Source organism: Homo sapiens, chromosome 5 (genome assembly GCF_000001405.40).
Source record: "Homo sapiens chromosome 5, GRCh38.p14 Primary Assembly".
Classification (NCBI taxonomy): Eukaryota; Metazoa; Chordata; class Mammalia; order Primates; family Hominidae; genus Homo; species Homo sapiens.
Window position 1 is genome coordinate 57133928 of NC_000005.10, and position 18523 is coordinate 57152450.

Here is an 18523-nt window from a genome sequence, read left to right on the forward strand (position 1 = left end):
CCTGTCTCATAAGTTTGTACTTCATTGAACACAAATCTTTAAATTATATGCAGTCACATTCAATTTTTTTTCTTTTTCTTTTTCTATTTATTTATTTATTTATTTGAGACAGAGTTTTACTCTTGTCACCCTGGCTGGGGTGCAGTGTACAATTTCAGCTCACTGCAACCTCCGCTTCCCAGGTTCAAGCAATTCTTCTGCCTCAGCCTCCTGAGTATATGGGGTTACAGGCATGCGCCACCATGCCTGGTTAATTTTGTATTTTTCGTAGAGACAGGTTTCACCATGTTGGTCAGACTGGTCTCGAACTCCTGACCTCAGGTGATCTGCCCGCCTCGAGTTCCCAAAGTGCTGGGATTACAGGCATGAGCCACCTCGCCCAGCCCCTCATTTTTTTTTTTTTAATCTCATGTTGGTATTTTGGATCTTGCTCAAGTTTTCCTCCTGATTCACAAACATTGTCCCCTGCATTTTCTATTAATATTATTTTAGTAGATAGTAGAATCCATTTTGAGTCCCCTTTACACACGATAAAAAGAGAGTTCAAGCTTGATTTTTCTCTGTAAAACTGTAAGCCAGGTTTATCATGCCACCTAAGAAACAATCCATCCTTTTGTTATTGTTTTGTGGTGCTACCTTTATCAAATATCAAGGCTCGCTCCTGTAATACCAACGCTTTGGGAGGCTGAGGCAGGAGGATCACTGGAGGTCAGGAGTTCAAGACCAGACTGGGCAAAATAGCAGGACGCCCGTCTCTAGAAACAAACAACCAACCAAACAACCAAAACAAATGTTTTAATTTAATCACACTTGTTTCTCTCAGGAATAAAACAATTATTAATCATATCATGCATGTCAGAATGTCTTCAGATCTGTATCAAGCCCCTAGAATGCTTGCCTACTTAAGTCCTTTACACATGGATTATTTATTTATTTATTTATTTATTTTCGAGACAGAGTTTCACTCTTGTCCCTCAGGCTGGAGTGCAATGGTGAGATCTTGGTTCACTGCAACCTCTGCCTCCCGGGTTCAAGCAATTCTCCTGCCTCAGCCTCGAGAGTAGCTAGGATTACAGGTGCACGCCACCACGCCCAGCTAATTTTTGTATTTTTAGTAGAGACGGGGTTTCACCATGTTGGCCAAGCTGGTCTTGAACTCCTGACCTCAGGTGATCTGCCGGCCTCAGCCTCCCAAAGTGCTGGGATTACAGGCGTCAGCCGCCACACCCGGCCCTTTTCACATGGATTTTTCAGGCTTGGGGGTTTCTTCCTTGCCCATTCTTCAGACCGTACGATACAAGTGCCCAGAATATGGGGGACCTTTATCAGGTACCCTAGTTATTGTATGGAGTTGGTTGACAAGCCTCATTTTGCAGGAACTTGTGTCTACTCTTCCATTCGCTAGATCTGAATTCTTAGTATGCCTCATTTTCCATGAACTGGATTATTTCAGGTTTTTGGTCTCCAGCCTAAAACTGCTGTTACTGCTGATACTTGCTCTCCAAATGTTAATCCCCTCCCTAGGAAGCTCCACATCCCTCCCAGTTTGTCTTCTCTCTGAGGTCCCTGTTAAATTTCTCTCACTCTATCTGCCTGTGCAAAAATGAGATAAAAATGAAATTTTCAACCATAATGTCCATCAAAGGAGGGTAGAGCCTGGTAAATAAAAGCCTTTTTGTTCTACTGAACATTTGGATGTGTTTGGATATGCAAAACGGGGGCCAGATCTTAGCCTGGAAGTAGACAGCAGTGAGAACTGCTGTGTTCTGTGTAAAGAATAAGAATTTGCATTTGGGGGCTGCAGTTCAGGAAGGAGAGGGTACTGAAATGATACAAGACCCAGGAGAGAAGAGAAACAATCTAGCCAGGGTGTTACTAAATACCTATATGAGTCAGAAGCCAATAGAAAAATTCCCTGGGGCCGGGTACGGTGGCTCACGCCTGTAATCCCAGTACTTTAGGAGGCCGAGGCGGGCGGATCACGAGGTCAGGAGATGGAGACCATCCTGGCTAACACGGTGAAACCCCATCTCTACTAAAAAATACAAAAAATTAGCCAGGCGAGGTGGCGGGTGCCTGTAGTCCCAGCTACTCGGGAGGCTGAGGCAGGAGAATGGCGTGAACCTGTGAGATTCCGCCACTGCACTCCAGCCTGGGTGACAGAGCGAGACTCCGTCTCGAAAAAAAAAAAAAAAAAAAAAGAAAAGAAAAGAAAAAGAAAAATTCCTTGGAAAAGAACTTTTAAGAAGTATCTAGTATTTGGCTGGGAGCGGTGGCTCATGCCTGTAATCCCAGAACTTTGGGAGGCCGAGGCAGGCAGATCACCTGAGATCAGGAGTTCAAGACCAGCCTGGCCAACATGGGGAAACCCTACAGACTAAAAATACAAAAATTAACTGGGCGTGGTGGTACGCGCCTGTAGTTGCAGCTACTCAGGAAGCTGAGGCAGGAGAATCGCTTGAAGTCGGGAGGCAGAAGTTGCAGTGAGCTGAGATCGCACCACCGCATTCCAGCCTGGGTGACAGGACAAGACTCTGTCTCAAAAAAAAAAGAAGTATCTAGTATTCAAGTGGAAGGGTTCATGTTGTTGAGCTGTGAATACCCATACCTCATTCATTTTCACTCCCAAAATTTTCATCAAAGTCTGATAAAAAACAAAAATGTACTGGGTGCAGTGGCTCACACCTGTTAAATCCCCAAACTTTGGGAGGCTGAGGTGGGAGGATCACTTGAGGCCAGGAGTTGAAGACCAGCTTGGGCAACATGATGAGACCTTGTCTCTAGAAAAAAAAATGTTAAAAAATTAGCTGAGCATGATGGCATGTGTCTGTGGTAGCAGCTACTTGGGAGGCTGAGGTGGGAGGATCAATTGAGCCTAAGAAGTTGAGGCTGCAGTGAGCCATGATCTTGCCACTGCACTCCAGCCTGGGCAACAGAGCAAGAACCTGTCTCAAAAAACAAAAGCAAAAATACCTCATGTTGGCTGGGCAAAGCGGCTCATGCCTGTAATCTCAGCACTTTGGGAGGCTGAGGTGGTTGGATCACATGAGGTCAGGAGTTTGAGACCAGCCTGATCAATATGGTGAAACCCCGTCTCTACTAAAAATACAAAAATTTGTGGTGATGTGCGCCTGTAGTCCCAGCTACTCAGTAGGCTGAGACAGGATAATTGCTTGAATCTGGGAGGCAGAGGTTGCAGTGAGCAGAGATTGTGCTATTTGCACTTCTAGCCTGAGCGACACAGCAAGACTCCGTCTAAAAAAAAAAAAACAAACTTCATGTTAACAGATAATAACATCTGTGGAGGTGGGTGTGGGGTGGGAGGTGAGCAGTGGAGTGAGTAGTGGTATTATAAGTATGTATCAATTGAAACAGGTAATGAAATTAACCAATGGATCCGCATGGTGCAGAATGGAACAGCTGTGTCAGAAATAAGGTGACAATCTATTAACTGACCCTGCTTAGTGGAAGCCAGAAGCAGAGAAAGTCAAGGAGAAGGAGGAGGAGGAAGAAAAATGAAGAGGTGAAAATAGCTAATACTTACAAGGCATGCCAGGATTTGTTCTAAATGCTTTGTTTATACATATAAAGGTGACCATGAGAACGTCATACCTTCCCCAACATCTACCTCCTCCCTCCCAGAGAGTCACAGAAATCTTAGGGAGGGCTTTGGACTTCTCATAGTGAGTAACTAGCATTCAAGCCAATCTTGTCTAGATCTCGTAGGTAGGAGACTTCAGATAACACCTGGGTAGCATTTAAGCTTTAGCTCTTACTTCCAAGAATGCTCCAAGGGAGGTTTAAGTCATAATACAATGTTACATCACAGCTTCCTTCTAGCTTCTAGTCCTGAAAGTGCCCTCAAACTCATCATTAGAGCATACCTTTATTGTATTTTCAAGTGTATCATAACTATTGTGTATATTTAAATAGGCAAAAGTTCCTTTTGTGGACCTTGATTATAAATACATACACACACTTTTTTTCTATTTCCTTTTTTTTTTTTTTTTTTTTGTGATGGAGTCTCACTCTGTCGCCCAGGCTGGAGTGCAGTGGCACGATCTCGGCTCACTGCAACTTCCGCCTCCGCGGTTCAAGCGATTCTCCTCCCGAGTAGCTGGGACTACAGGCGCGCCACCCGGCCCGGCTATTTTTGTTTTTTTAGTAGAGGCAAGGTTTCACCATATTGGCCAGGATGGTCTCGATCTGTTGACCTCGTGATCCGCCCGAGGCAGATCCCAAAAGTGCTGGGATTACAGGCTTGAGCCACTGTCCCGGCCCAGAACCCCTTTTAAAGTCACCCTTGAAGGGCTCCTCTGATTCTTTCCTCAATGGTTAAGGCAGCTCTTGGCTGCCCTCTTCTGGGATCAGGTCTCCAAGCCACCCATTCCTGTTGACCAGCAACCCTTTTAGGTCCCATCTTGCCTGTGAGCTAGGACTGGTGGGACCATCACAGCTGTACAGCTTGACTTTCTTCTTCTACTGCTGCTATAGGATCTGAGCAGTGCTATTTTACCTATAAATACAACCTATTGGGCTCAAGCTATCTTCCTGCCTCAGCCTCCCAAGTAGCTGGGACTATACGCATGTGCCAATGTACCCAGCTAATTTTTTTCTTTTCTTCTTCTTTTTTTTTTTTTTTTTTTTTTTTTTGTGTGTGTGTGTGTGTGTAGAGATGGGTTCCACTATGTTAACCCAGGCTGGTCTTGAACTCCTGGTCTCAAGCGATTCTCCCGCCTCAGCTTCCCAAAGTGCTGGGATTACAAGCATGAGCCACCCTGCCCAGCCAGCGTATATATTTTTGTCTTTTAAATGTTTTAGCTATTTTACCAACAAGGAAGATTTTCTTGGGGGAAAAAAAGAAATCCTGAGGCCTCTCAGATAATAAAACCTTAGGCAGATTCAATACAAACAGATAACATTATCTGGCACTGTCTATTAAATTATCTTATCTAAAAATGTCACATGTAGATTGTATGCCATAACCACTAATAAATACCTCGAAGTGTTTTTTAAAAAATAATAATTGCTCACATCATTCTGAGATGGCTAATTTTTATCTTTTATAATTTTTAAAAATATTTTTTTTTCTGGCCAGGTGCAGTGGCTCAGACCTGTAATCCCAGCACTTTGGAAGGCTGAGGCAGGAAGATTGCTTGAGTCTGGGAGTTCAAGACCAGCCTGAGCAACATAGCAAGACCCTGTCTCTATAAAAAATTAAAAAATAAAAAAAATTAGCCAGGTGTGGTGACACATGCCTGTAGTCCCAGCTACTTGAGAGGCTGAGGTGGGAGGATCACTTGAGTCTGGGAGGTCGAGACTGCAGTGAGGCCTGATCTTGCTACTGCACTCACCCTGGGTGACAGAGGGAGACCGTGTCTCAGAAAAAAAATCTGCATATCTATATATTATTATTACTTTTTTTTGTTTTTGAGACAGAGTCTTGCTCTGTTGCCCAGGCTGGAGTGCAGTGGCACGATCTCAGCTCACTGCAACCTCTGCCTCCTGGGTCAAGCAATTCTCATGCCTCAGTCTCCCATTAGCTGGGATTACAGCCATGCGCCACCACGCCTGGCTAGTTTTTGTATTTTTATTTATTTATTTTTGAGACGGAGTTTTGCTCTTGTCACCCAGGCTGGAGTGCAATGACGTGATCTCGGCTCACTGCAACCTCTGCCTCCGGGGTTCAAGCGATTCTCCTGCCTCAGCCTCCCTAGTAGCTGGGATTACAGTTGCCTGCCACCATGCTCAGCTAATTTTTTGTATTTTTAGTAGAGATGGAGTTTCACCACCATTTTGTCCAGGCTGGTCTTGAACTCCTGACCTCAGGTAATCCACCCGCCTCGGCTTCCCAAAGTGCTGGGATTACAGGCGTGAACCACCTCGCCTGGCCTGACTTCATTTTTGTACAAAGTGAGAGATATTGATCAGGTTTCATTCTTCTGCATATGATATCCAGTTTTCCCAGCACCATTTATTGAAGATTTTTCTGCAATGTATATTCTTGGCATGTTTGTCAAAAGTAAGTTCATTGTAGATGTATGGATTTATTTCTGTATTCTCTATTCTGTTCCACTGATCTATGTGTTTGTTTTTCTGCCAGTATTATGCTGTTTTGGTTACTACAGCTCTGTAGTATGATTTGACATCCAATAATGTGATTTTCCAGTTTTGTTCTTTTTGCTCAAGGTATATTTGGCTATTCTGGGGCTTATGTGGTTCCATATAAATTTTAGGGTTTTTTTTTTTCTATTTCTGTGAAGGATGTCACTGGTATTTTGATAGGAATTACATTGAATCTGTAGATTGCAACAATATTGATTCTTCCAATCCATGAACATAGAATATTGGAATAACAATATTGTTACTTTCAATCCATGAACATGGAATATCTTTCCTTTTTTGTGTGTCCTCTTCAATTTCTTGCATCAGTGTTTTATGGTTTTCATTGCAGAGATTTTTCATTTCTTTGGTTTTGGTTAATTCCTTTTATTTATTTATTTATTTATTTATTTTTGAGAAAGTCTCGCTCTGTCACCCAGGTTGGAGTGCAGTGGTGTGATCTCGGCTGACTGCAACCTCCACCTCCTGGGTTCAAGCAATTCTCCTGCCTCAGCCTCCCGAGTAGCTGGGGCCACAGGCACACACCATCATGCCTGGGTAAATTTTTTTGTATTTTTAGCAGAGACAGGGTTTCACCATGTTGGCCAGGCTGGTCTCCAACTCCTGACCTCAGGTGATCTGCCTGCCTCAGCCTCCCAAAGTGCTGGGATTACAGGTGTAAGCCACCGGGCCTGGCTGATTAACTCCTATGTATTCAATTTTATCTGTAACTATTGTAAATGGGATTACTTTCTTGATTTCTTTTTCATATTGTTTGCTATTGGCATATAGAAATGCTACTGTTTTTTGTATGTAGATTTTGTATCCTACACTTTAGTGAATTTGTTTATCAGTTCTAATCGTTTTTTTTTTTTTGTGGAGTCTTGAGGTTTTTCCAAATATAAGATCATATCTGCAAACAAGGATAATTTGATTCTTTGCTTTCCAATTTGTTTTTTGTTTTTGTTTCCTTGTTTTTGAGACAGTGTCTCACTCTGTCTCCCAGGCTGCACTGCAGTGGCATGGTCATGGCTTACTGCAGCCTCTACCTCCCAAGCTCAGATGATCCTCCCACCTCAGCCTCCTGAGTAGCTGGGACTACAGGGGCGCACCTGCATACCCAGCCAATTGTGTGTGTGTGTGTGTGTGTGTGTGTGTGTGTTTTGTAGAGATGGAGTTTCACAATGTTGCTTAGACTGGTCTTGAACTCCTGGACTCAAGTAATCTGCCCACCTCAGCCTCCCAAAGTGCTGAGATTTCAGATGTGAGCCACTGCACCCAGCGCTTTCCAGTTTGGATGCCCTTTATTTCTTCCTCCTGTCTCATTGCTCCAGCTGACACTTCCAGTACTATGTGTAATAAAGTGCTGAAAGTGGGACTTCTTGTCATGTTCCAGATCTCAGAGGAAAGGTTTTAATTCCTCACAATTCAGTATGATACTAGCTATGGAACTGCTGTTTATGGCTTTATTATGTTGAAGTATATTCCTTCTGAACCCAGGTTTTTTTAGGGTTTTTGTTATTAAGGGATATTGAAATGTGTCAAATGCTTATTCAGAACCAATTGAAATGATCATATGGTTTTTGTCCTTTATTCTGTTGATATGATGTATCACATTGATTTATCCAAGTATGTTGAACCACCCTTGCATTCCCAAGATAAATCCCACTTGGTTATGATGAATGATCTTTCTAATGTGTCGTTGAAATCGGTTTGCTAGCATTTTGTAAAGGATTTCTGCAACAACATTAATCAGTAATATGGCCTGTAGTTTTTTTTTTTTTAATGTGTCTTTGTCTGCTTTAGCTATCAGGGTAATACTGGTCTTATAGAGTATGTTCTAAAGTGTTCCCTCCTCCTCTATTTTTTGGAATAGTTTGAGTAGGATTGGTATTAGTTCTTTTTTAAATGTTTGGTAAAATTCAGCAGTGAAGCCATTGGGTCCCAGGCTTTTTTTTTCCCCCGCCCTGGGAAACTTTTTATTACAGCTTTGATCCCATTAGTTCTTATTGGTCTGTTCCAGTTTTGGATTTCTTTACGGTTCAACCTTAGTAGGTTGCATGTGTCTAGGAATTTATCCATTTCTTCTGAGTTTTCCAGTCCATGAGCCTATAGCTGCTCACAGTAGCTTCTAAAGATCCTTTGAATTTCTGCAGTATTGGTTGGAATGTCTCCTTTTTCATCTCTGATTTTATTTAGATTTTCTCTCCTTTTTTCTTTCTTTTTTTTTTTTGAGACAGAGTCTCACTCTGTCACCCAGGCTGTAGTGCAGTGGCACGATCTTGGCTCACTGCAACCTCTGTTGCTCAGGTTCAAGCAATTCTCCTGCCTCAGCCTTCTGAGTAGCTGGGATTACAGGCACCTGCCAGCAGGCCTGGCTAATTTTTGTATTTTTAGTAGAGACAGGGCTTCACCATCTTGGCTAGGCTGATCTTGAACTCCTGACCTCGTGATCCACCCGCCACAGCCTCCCAAAGTGTTGGGATTACAGGCGTGAGCCACCGCACCCAGCCCTCTCTTTTTTCCTTAGTCTGGCTAAATATTTGTCAATTTTGTTTACCTTTTTAAAAACTAACTTTTTGGCCGGGCACGGTAGCTCACGCCTGTAATCCCAGCACTTTGGGAGGCTGAGGCAGGCGGATTACCTGAAGCCAGGAGTTCAAGACCAACCTGGCCAACATGGTGAAACCATGTCTCTACTAAAAATACAAAAAATTAGCCAAGCATGGTGGCAGGCACCTATAATCCCAGCTACTCAGGAGGCTGAGGCAGGAGAATCGCTTGAACCTTGGAGGCAGAGGTTGCAGTGAGCCAACATCGTGCCTTTGCACTCCAGCCTGGGCAACAAGAGCTAAACTCTGTCCCAACCAAAAAAACTAACTTTTTGTTTTGTTAATCTTTTGTGTTGTTTTCTTCATTTCAATTTTATTTGTTTATGCTCTGATCTTTATTATTACTTTTTTCTACTGATTTTGGGTTTGGTTTGCTCTTGCTTTTCTAGTTCTTTAAGATGCATCAAGTTGTTAGTTGTTTATTTGAAGTTTTTCTACTTTTTTTGTTTTCTTTTTCTTTTTCTTTGTTTTTGAGACGATCTGTCTTGTGCCACTGCACTCGCTCTGTCACCCAGGCTGGAGTGCAGTGGCACGATCTTGGCTCACTGCAACCTCTGCCTCCCAGGTTCAAGTGATTCTCCTGCCTCAGCCTCCCATGTAGTAGTAGCTGGGATTACAGGCATGCACCACCACACCCGGATAATTTTTGTATTTTCAGTAAAGACAGGTTTTTGCCATTTTGGCCAGGCTCGAACCCTTGACCTCAGGTGATCTACCCACCTCAGCCTCCCAAAGTGCTGGGATTACAGGCATGAGCCACTGTGCCCAGCCTTGAAATTTTTCTACTTTTCTGATGTAGGCACTTAAAGCTATAAACTACCCTCTTAGTACTGCTTTCACTATGTCCCATAGGTTTGGGTATGTTGTGGTTCCATTGCCATTTGTTTCAAGAAATTTTCCAATTTCCTTCTTAATTTCTTTATTGATCCACTGATTAGGAGCATATTGTTTAATTTCCATGTGTTTTTACAGTTTCCAAAATTCTTTGTTATTAATTTCTAGTTTTATTCCATTGTGGTCCAAGAAAATTCTTGATATAATTTTGATTTTCTTGGATGTTTTAAGACTTGTTTTGTCACCCAATATATGGCCTATCCTTGAGAATAATCCATGTGTTTAGGAAAAGAAAGTATGTTCTGCAGCCACCGGATGAAATATTCTGTAAATAACTAGTAGATCCATTTGGTCAATAGTGCAGATTCAGTCCAATGTTTCTTTGTTGGCTTTCTGCCTGGAAGATCTGTTCAATGCTGAAACTGGAGGGTTAAAGTCTCCAGCTTTCATTATATTGGGGTCTATCTCTCTCTTTAGATTTAATATTTGCTTTATGTATCTTGGTGCTCCAGTATTGGGTGGATATATATTTACAATGGTTATCCTTTTGCTTAATTGACCTCTTTATCATTGTATCATGACCTTCTTTGTTCCTACTTAAAGCCTTTATCTTGAAATTTATTTTGTCTAACTATAGCTACTCTTGCTCTTTTTTGGTTTCCATTGGCTTGGACTATCTTTTTATGTCTCTTTATTTTTATTCTACGTGTGTCTTTTATAGGTGCAGTGTGTTTTTCATAGGCAAGAGATCATTGGGTCTTTTTGTTTTTAAATCAATTCAGCCACTCTGTGTCTTTTGATTGGAGAGTTTACTCAATTTACATTCAATGTTATTATTAATAAGGACCTACTCCTGCCATTCATTTTGTTATTTGTTTTCTGGTTGTTTTGTGGTCTTCAATTCTTTCCCTCCTTCCTGTCTTCCTTTTAGTAAAGGGGATTTTTCTCTGGTGGTATAATTTAATTTTTTGCTTTTTATTTTTTGTGTGTCCATTGTATGTTTTTTTATTAGAGGTTACCATGAGGGTTGCAAATACTATCTTATCACCCGTTATTTTCAGCTGATAACAACTTAACTCTGCCTGCATACACAAACAAACAAGCAAAAAGAAAACTAAAAAAAATTCTACATCTTTACTTCATCTCTATGCTTTTTAACATTTTGTTGTTCCCATTAATATCTTATTGTACTATGTCTTGAAAAGTTGTCATTATTATTATTAATTTTCTTTTGAGACAGGTTATCACTCTGTCACCCAGGCTAGAGTACACTGGTGCAATCTCAGCTCACTGCAACCTCTGCCTCCCGGGCTCAAGCTATCCTCCTGCCTAAACCTCCTAAGTAGCTGGGACTACAGGAGCACACCACCACATCTAGCTAATTTTTGTGTTTTTTGTAGAGATGGGGTTACTCCATGTTGCCCAGGCTGGTCTTGAACTCCTGGGCTCAAGCGATCTGCCTGCCTCAACCTACCGAAAAATGCTGGGATTACAGGCATGAGCCACCATGCCCAGCTATAGTTATTAGTATTGTTCTTATTTTATTTTTGAGATGGAGTTTCACTCTTGTTGCCCAGGCTGGAGTGCAATGGTGTGATCTTGGCTCACCGCAACCTCCACCTCCTGGGGTCAAGTGATTATCCTGCCTCAGCCTCCTGAGTAACTGGGATTACAGACATGTGCCATCAAGCCTGGCTAATTTTGTATTTTTAGTAGAGATGGGGTTTCTCCATGTTAGTCAGGCTGGTCTCGAACTCCCAACCTCAGGTGATCTGCCCACCTCAGCCTCTCAAAGTGCTGGCATTACAGGCGTGAGCCATCATGCCTGGCCCATAGTTATTATTATTATTACATTTGAGAAATAGTCTCACTCTGTCACCCAGGATGGAGTGCAGTGGTGTGATTTCGGCTCACCACAACCTCTGCCTCCCAGGTTTAAGTGATTCTCATGCCTCAGCCACCCAGGTAGCTGGGATTACAGGCATGAGCCACCATATCAGCTAATATTTTGTATTTTTTAGTAGAGACAGGGTTTCACCATATTGGCCAGGCTGGTCTGGAACCACTGACTTCAAGTGATCTGCCTGCCTTGGGCTCGCAAAGTGCTGGGATTACGGCCACCACACCCAGCCCATAGTTACTATTTTTGATTGGATAATATTTTAGTCTTTCTACTTAAAAAAAAGTAGCTTACACACCACAGCTACCCCATTATAATATTATATGTTTTTCTGTGTACTTACTATTACCAGTGAGTTTTGTACTTTCAGATGATTTCTTTTTTTTTTTTTTTTTTTTTTTGAGATGGAGTCTCGCACTGTCACCCAAGCTGGAGTACAATGGCACAGTGATCTCGGCTTACTGCAAGCTCTGCCTCCCGGGTTCATGCCATTCTCCTGCCTCAGCCTCCCAAGTGGCTGGGATTACAGGCGCACACCACCACACCTGGCTAATTTCTTGTATTTTTAGTAAAGATGGGGGTTTCACTATGTTGGCCAGGCTGGTCTCGAACTCCTGACCTCGTGATACGTCCGCCTCACCCTCCCAAAGTGCTGGGATTATAGGTGTGAGCCACCGCACCCAGCCCAGATGATTTCTTATTGCTTGTTAATGTCCTTTTCTTTCAGACTGAAGAACTCCCTTTAGCATTTCTCGTAGGACTAAAATCCCTCAGCTTTTGTTTGTCCAGGAAAGTCTTTACTTCTTCATCTTTGGAGGATATTTTCACTGGATATATTATTCTAAGTAATAGTTTTTTTTCCTTCAGTACTGTAAATATCTCACGGCACTCTCTCCTGGCATGGAAGGTTTCCACTGAGAAGTTCGCTGCTGGACATACTGGAACTCTGTTGTATGTTATTTGTTTCTATTTTCTTGCTGCTTTTAGGATTCTTTCTTTAACCCTGACCTTTGGGAGTTTCACTATTAAATGCCCTGAAGTGGTTTTCTTTAGGTTAAATTTGCTTGGTGTTCTACAACCTTCTTGTACTTAGATATTGATATTGCTCATTAGGTTTGAAAAGTTTTGTTATTCCTTTGAATAAACGTTCTTTTTTTATTTTAATTTTTTTTATTTTTTGAGGCGGATTTTCGCTCTTGTTGCCCAGGTTGGAGTGCAATGGCACGATCTTGGCTCGCTGCAGCCTCTGCCTCCCAGACCCAAGTGATTCTCCTGCCTCAGCCTCCCCAGTAGCTGGGATTAGAGGCGTCTGCCACCACACCCAGCTAATTTTTTGTATTTTTAGTCTTGAACTCCTGACCTCAGGTGATTCACCGGCCTCGGCCTCTGCCTCCCAAAGTGTTGGGATCACAGGCATGAGCCGCCACACCTGGCCAAATAAACTTTCTACCCCTCTCTCTCTACCTTCTTTTTTTTTTTTTTTTTGAGACAGAGTTTCACTCTTGTTGCCCAGGCTGGAGTGCAGTGGTGCTATCTCGGCTCACCGCAACCTCCGCCTCCCGGGTTCAAGCAATTCTCCTGCCTCGGCCTCCCAAGTAGCTGAGATTACAGGCATGCGCTACCATGCTTGGCTAATTTTTGTATTTTTAGTAGAGACACGGTTTTACCATGTTGGTCAGGCTGGTCTCGAACTTCCGACCTCAGGTGATCTGCCCACCTCGGGCTCCCAAAATGCTGGGATTACAGACATGAGCCACCGCGCCCGGCTCTACCTTCTCTTTTAAGGCCAATAACTCTTAGATTTATACCTTTAAGGCTATTTTCTAGATCTTATAGGCATGCTTCATTGTTTTTTACTTATAGACATGGTAGAGATCATTCAGTAGAGAAGGGAAGAAGGCCAGACAAAACCCTGAGGATCACCTACATTCCCAAGATAGGCAGCAGAAGAGGTTCCTAGAAAAAGACTGAGATGAAATGGCCAAAGAAGTAGGATGGAACGCGAGAGAACATGACCTCACAGAAGTCCTGGAAAGGGAGCTTCAGGCCGGGTGTGGTGGCTCGTGCCTGTAATCCCAGCACTTTGGGAGGCCGAGGCGGGTGGATCACCTGAAGTCAGGAGTTCGAGACCAGCCTGGTCAACATGATGAAAGCCCATCTCTACTAAAAATATAAAAATTAGCCAGGCATGGTGGCAGGCACCTGTAATCCCAGCTACTTTCGGAGCCTGAGGCAGGAGAATCGCTTGAGGCTGCGAGCCAAGATTGCGCCACTGCACTCCAGCCTGGGTGACAGAGAGGGACTCCATCTCAAAGGAAAAACAAAAACAGAAACAAAGGACTCTGATGCGTTCTTGAGCATGTCAATTGCATTTTTCAGCTCCAGAATTTCTGCTTCATTCTTATACATTACTTCAATCTCTTTGTTAAATTTATCTGATCGAATTCTGAATTCCTTCCCTGTTTTATCTTGAATTTGTTTCCTCAAAACAGCTATTTTGAATTCTGTGTCTGAAAGGTCACGTATTTCAGTTTCTCCAGGATTGGTCCCTGAGTGCCTTATTTAGTTTATTTGGTGAGGTCATGTTTTCCTGGATGATACTGATGCTTATGCTTGTTTGTCAGTGTCTGGGCATTGAAAGTTAGGTATACATTTCAGTCTTCACAGAGTGAGCTTGTTCATACCCATCCTTCTTGAGAAGACTTTCCAGGTATTTGAAAAGAATTTGGTGTTGTGATCTAAGCATTATCTGCATAAAGGGGCACCCCAAGCTCAGTGACACTGTATTTCTTGCAGACTCATAGAAGTACTGCCTTGGTAGTTTATATGGTTTGGATTTGTGTCCCCACCCAAATCTCATGTCAAATTGTAGTCCCTAGTGTTAGCAGTGGGACTCAGTGGGAGGTGATTGGATCATGGTGGCAGATTTCCCAGTTGGTGCTGTTCTCATGATAGTAAGTTCTCACAAGATCTGGTTGTTTAAAAGTTTGCGGCACCACCCCCTTCTCTCTCTCTTCCTTCTCCTCTGACCATGTGAAGTGCTGGTTCCCCCTCTGCCTTCCACCATGATTGTATGTTTTCTGAGGCCTCCCCAGAAGTTGCTATGCTTCCTGTACAGCCTGTGTAACCACAAGCCAATTAAACCTCTTTTCTTGCTGGGCACGTTGGCTCACACCTGTAATCCCAACACTTTGGGAGGCTGAGGTAGGCCGACCATGAGGTCAGGAGTTTGAGACCAGCCTGACCAACATGGTAAAACCCCATCTCTACTAAAAATACAAAAATTATAGGGTGTGGTGGTGCGTGCCTATAATTCCAGCTACTCAGGAGGCTAAGCAGGAGAATCACTTGAACCCCGGAGGTAGAGTTTGCAGTGAGCTGAGATCCTGTCACTGTACTCCAGCCTGAGCGATAGAGCAAGACTCTGTCAAAAACAAAACAAAACAAACAAACAAAAAAAACTCTTTTCTTTGTAAATTACCGAGTCTCTGCTATTTCTTTATAGCAATGCAAGAATTGACTAATACAGTGGTCTTGAATAAGATCCAGAAGAATTCTTCAGATTACTAGGCAAAGGCTCTTGTTCTCTTCCCTTATGATCTCCCAAACAAAAAAAGTTTCAGCTGGGTGCACTGGCCTCCTATAATCCCAGCATTTTGGGAAGCTGAGGCAGGTGGATCACTTGAGGACAGGAGTTCCAGATCAGCCTGGCCAACATGGTGAAACCCCATCTCTACTAAAGATACAATAATTAGCCAGGCGTAGTGATGGGCACCTGTATTCCCAGCTACTCAGGAGGCTGAGGCGGAAGAATTGCTTGAACCCCGGAGGGAGAGGTTGCAGTGAGCTAAGATCCTGCCACTGCACTCCAGCCTGAGTGATAGAGCAAGACTCCGTCAAAAACAAACAAACAAAAAAAAGAACTCTTTTCATTATAAATTACCGAGTCTCTGATATTTCTTTATAGCAATGCAAGAATTGACTAATACAGTGGTCTTGAATAAGATCCAGAAGAATTCTTCAGATTACTAGGCAAAGGCTCTTGTTCTCTTATGTTCTCCCAAACAAAAAAAGTTTCAGCTGGGTGCAGTGGCCTCCTATAATCCCAGCACTTTGGGAAGCTGAGGCAGGTGGATCACTTGAGGACAGGAGTTCCAGACCAGCCTGGCCAACATGGTGAAACCCCGTCTCTACTAAAGATACAACAATTAGCCAGGCATAGTGATGGGCACCTGTATTCCCAGCTACTCAGGAGGCTGAGGCAGGAGAATCACTTGAACCCGGGAGGTGGGGGCTGCAGTGAGCTGAGATTGGGCCATTGCACTCCAGCCTGGGCAACAGAGTGAGACTTCGTCACAAAACAAAACAAAACAAAACAAACAAAAAAGAGTTTTTCTGTGTTGAGCTGTCTGGATCTGGGGGTATGGTGACACAAGCAGCCCTGCAACCACCACCACTGGGACTGCACTGGGTCAGACCTAAAGCTAGCACAGAAATGGGTCTTGCCCAAGGCACGCTGCAACCACTGCCTGGCTACTGGCTATGTTCACTCAAGACTCTAGGGATCTACAATCAGCAGATAGCAAAGCCAGCCAGGCTTGTGTTTTTCCCTTCAGGGTGGTGAGTTGTCCCAGGCCCTGGGTGGGTCCAGAGATGCCATCCAGGAATTAGGGACCAGAGTCAAAAACCTTAGGGATCTACCTGGTCTTCTGTGGCTGAGCTGGCACTCAAACAATGAGACACAGTTCTTCCCACTTGTCCCTTCTTGGGGAGCCTCACCCCATGGCCACCACCACCACAGGCCTGTGGGGAGTACTACTGCCGATGTTTACTTAAGGCCCAAGGGCTCTTCAGTCAGCTTGTGGTGAATGCTGCCAGGACTGGTATCCATCATTCAGGGCAGTGGGCTCCCCTCTGGCCCAGGGCAGATCCAGAAATACCATCCAAGAGCCAAAACCTGGAACTGGGGACCCCAAGAGCTCGCTTGGTGCTTTACCTCACTGGGAGGGGAAGATAAAGTTCTTCCCCTCCCCAAACCTTTTGTTTGTTTGCTTGTTTTGAGATAGGGTCTCACTCCAACACCCAGATTGGAGTGTAGTGGTGCAATCATGGCTCACTGCAGCCTTGACCACCTGGGTTCAAGTGATCCTCCTGCCTCAGCCTCCTGAGTAGCTGGGACCACAGGTGCACACCACCATGTCTAGCTTTTTTTTTTTTTTTTTTTTTTTTTTTTTGTAGAGACAAGGTTTCACCATGTTGCCCAGGCTGGTCTTGAACTCCTGGGCTCAGGTGATCTGCCCACCTCAGCCTCCCAGAGTATTAGTATTAGAGGCGTGAGCAACCATGCCCAGCTGAGAAAGTTCCTTTTACTCTTCCCTCTTCTTTTCTTGAGCAGAAGTAGTCTCTCACCATAGCCACCACAGCTGGAAATATGCTGGGTCACACCTGAAGCCAGCACATCTCAGAGTGTTACCTAAGACCCATGGCATATGACCTGGGTATTGCTGCTGGTTATTCAGGGCCCAAGGGCTCTTTACTTAGCAGGAGATGGCTCCCGCTTGATCCATCCCTTCAGGGCAGTGGTTTCCCTTCTGGCCCAGTGTGTGTCTAGAAATCTTGTCTGGAAGCTAGGATTTGGAAAGGGGGCCTCAAGACTTTGCTGATGCCCTGTCCTACTGTGGCTTAGCTGGTATCCAAGTTGAAAGACAAAGTCCTCTTTCCTCTTTATTTCCTCTCCTCACATGAAAGGAAAAGATGTCTTTCAGAGGCATGAGCTATGCTGCCCGGGGTTGGGGGAGGGGTGGCACAACCCCTTAGCCACTTCTGCTGGTATCTCAGTGGGTTGCATTCCCCTTAAGTCCACTGGATCTGGGCCCAGCGCAACACTAGGACTTGCCTAGGAGTGGCAGTCCTCATGGCCTAGACTGCCCCTCAAGTTTATTTAGGGCCCCAGAGCACTTTACTCCGTGACGGTGACACTTGCTAAAACTCAGGTTCCAGCTGCTGGGGTGGGTGATACCCCTCTGGCTAGGACTTGTCTAAATGCTCTCTCTGTGGATGTCAGCTGAATGCAGCCCAGTTTGCTTTTCCACTGTGACATGCCTGACCTATTGTTCTTTACTTAGAACAACAAAATACCAAGAGAAGTCAAGAAAGAGACTTTAAGGCCGGGTGTGGTGGCTCATGCCTGTAATCCCAACACTTTGGGAGGCCAAGGCTGGCGGATCACTTGAGGTCAGGAGTTCCAGACCAGCCTGGCCAACATGGTGAAACCCCATCTCTGCTAAAAATACAAAAATTAGCTGGGTATGGTGGCATGCACCTGTAGTCTCAGCTACTTGGGAGGCTGAGGGCCGGAGAATTCCTTGAACCCATGAGGCAGAGGTTGCAATGAGCCAAGATCACACCACTGCACTCCCATCTGGGCAACAGGGCAAGACTCCATCTCAAAAAATAAAATAAAAAAAATAAAATAGAATAAAAAACAAAAAGACTGTAAAAGAAAAGAAAAAAAATTATACTTTTGTGTCTTTAAGTATACGTTTTTCTTGCTTTTTGAAAAAGGAATCCCAACTTTCATTTTGCACTGGGCCTCCTAAATGATATAGACTGTGTTGCCTTGAATGGAAGCTTTCAAACAAATTGTGTTTTTAGGAAAGAGAGGAGCAATGAGGAAAATAGGGAGATGGGTAGGGCAGGGACCTGGGGGTCCTCTTAACCTTATAGACCTCATAGTGTCCTGGCTGCCAAAGGGACACATCCTGATGTAGGAGAGTTAGAGAGCACAGGAAGAGGCAAGGAATGACAGGGGATAGTCAGCAGGGCAGTTTGATATTTAAGGTTGTATTGTGTGCTGTTTCTTCCAGTGTCTTCTGACCAGGCCTACAAGATAATGGCTCCAAGTGGGACATCATGAGAAACTAAAAGAGTGGTTCAGAAAAGTCCTACAACACAAGGACTGTTATAAGTGTCAGGAAGCATGATCTAAGTTTAGGGCCTAATAACACTGCTAACAGTCGTATTGAAGCAGTTGTTAAAAGGACTATATAGAAAGAAATTATGTCCTTCCAGTCTT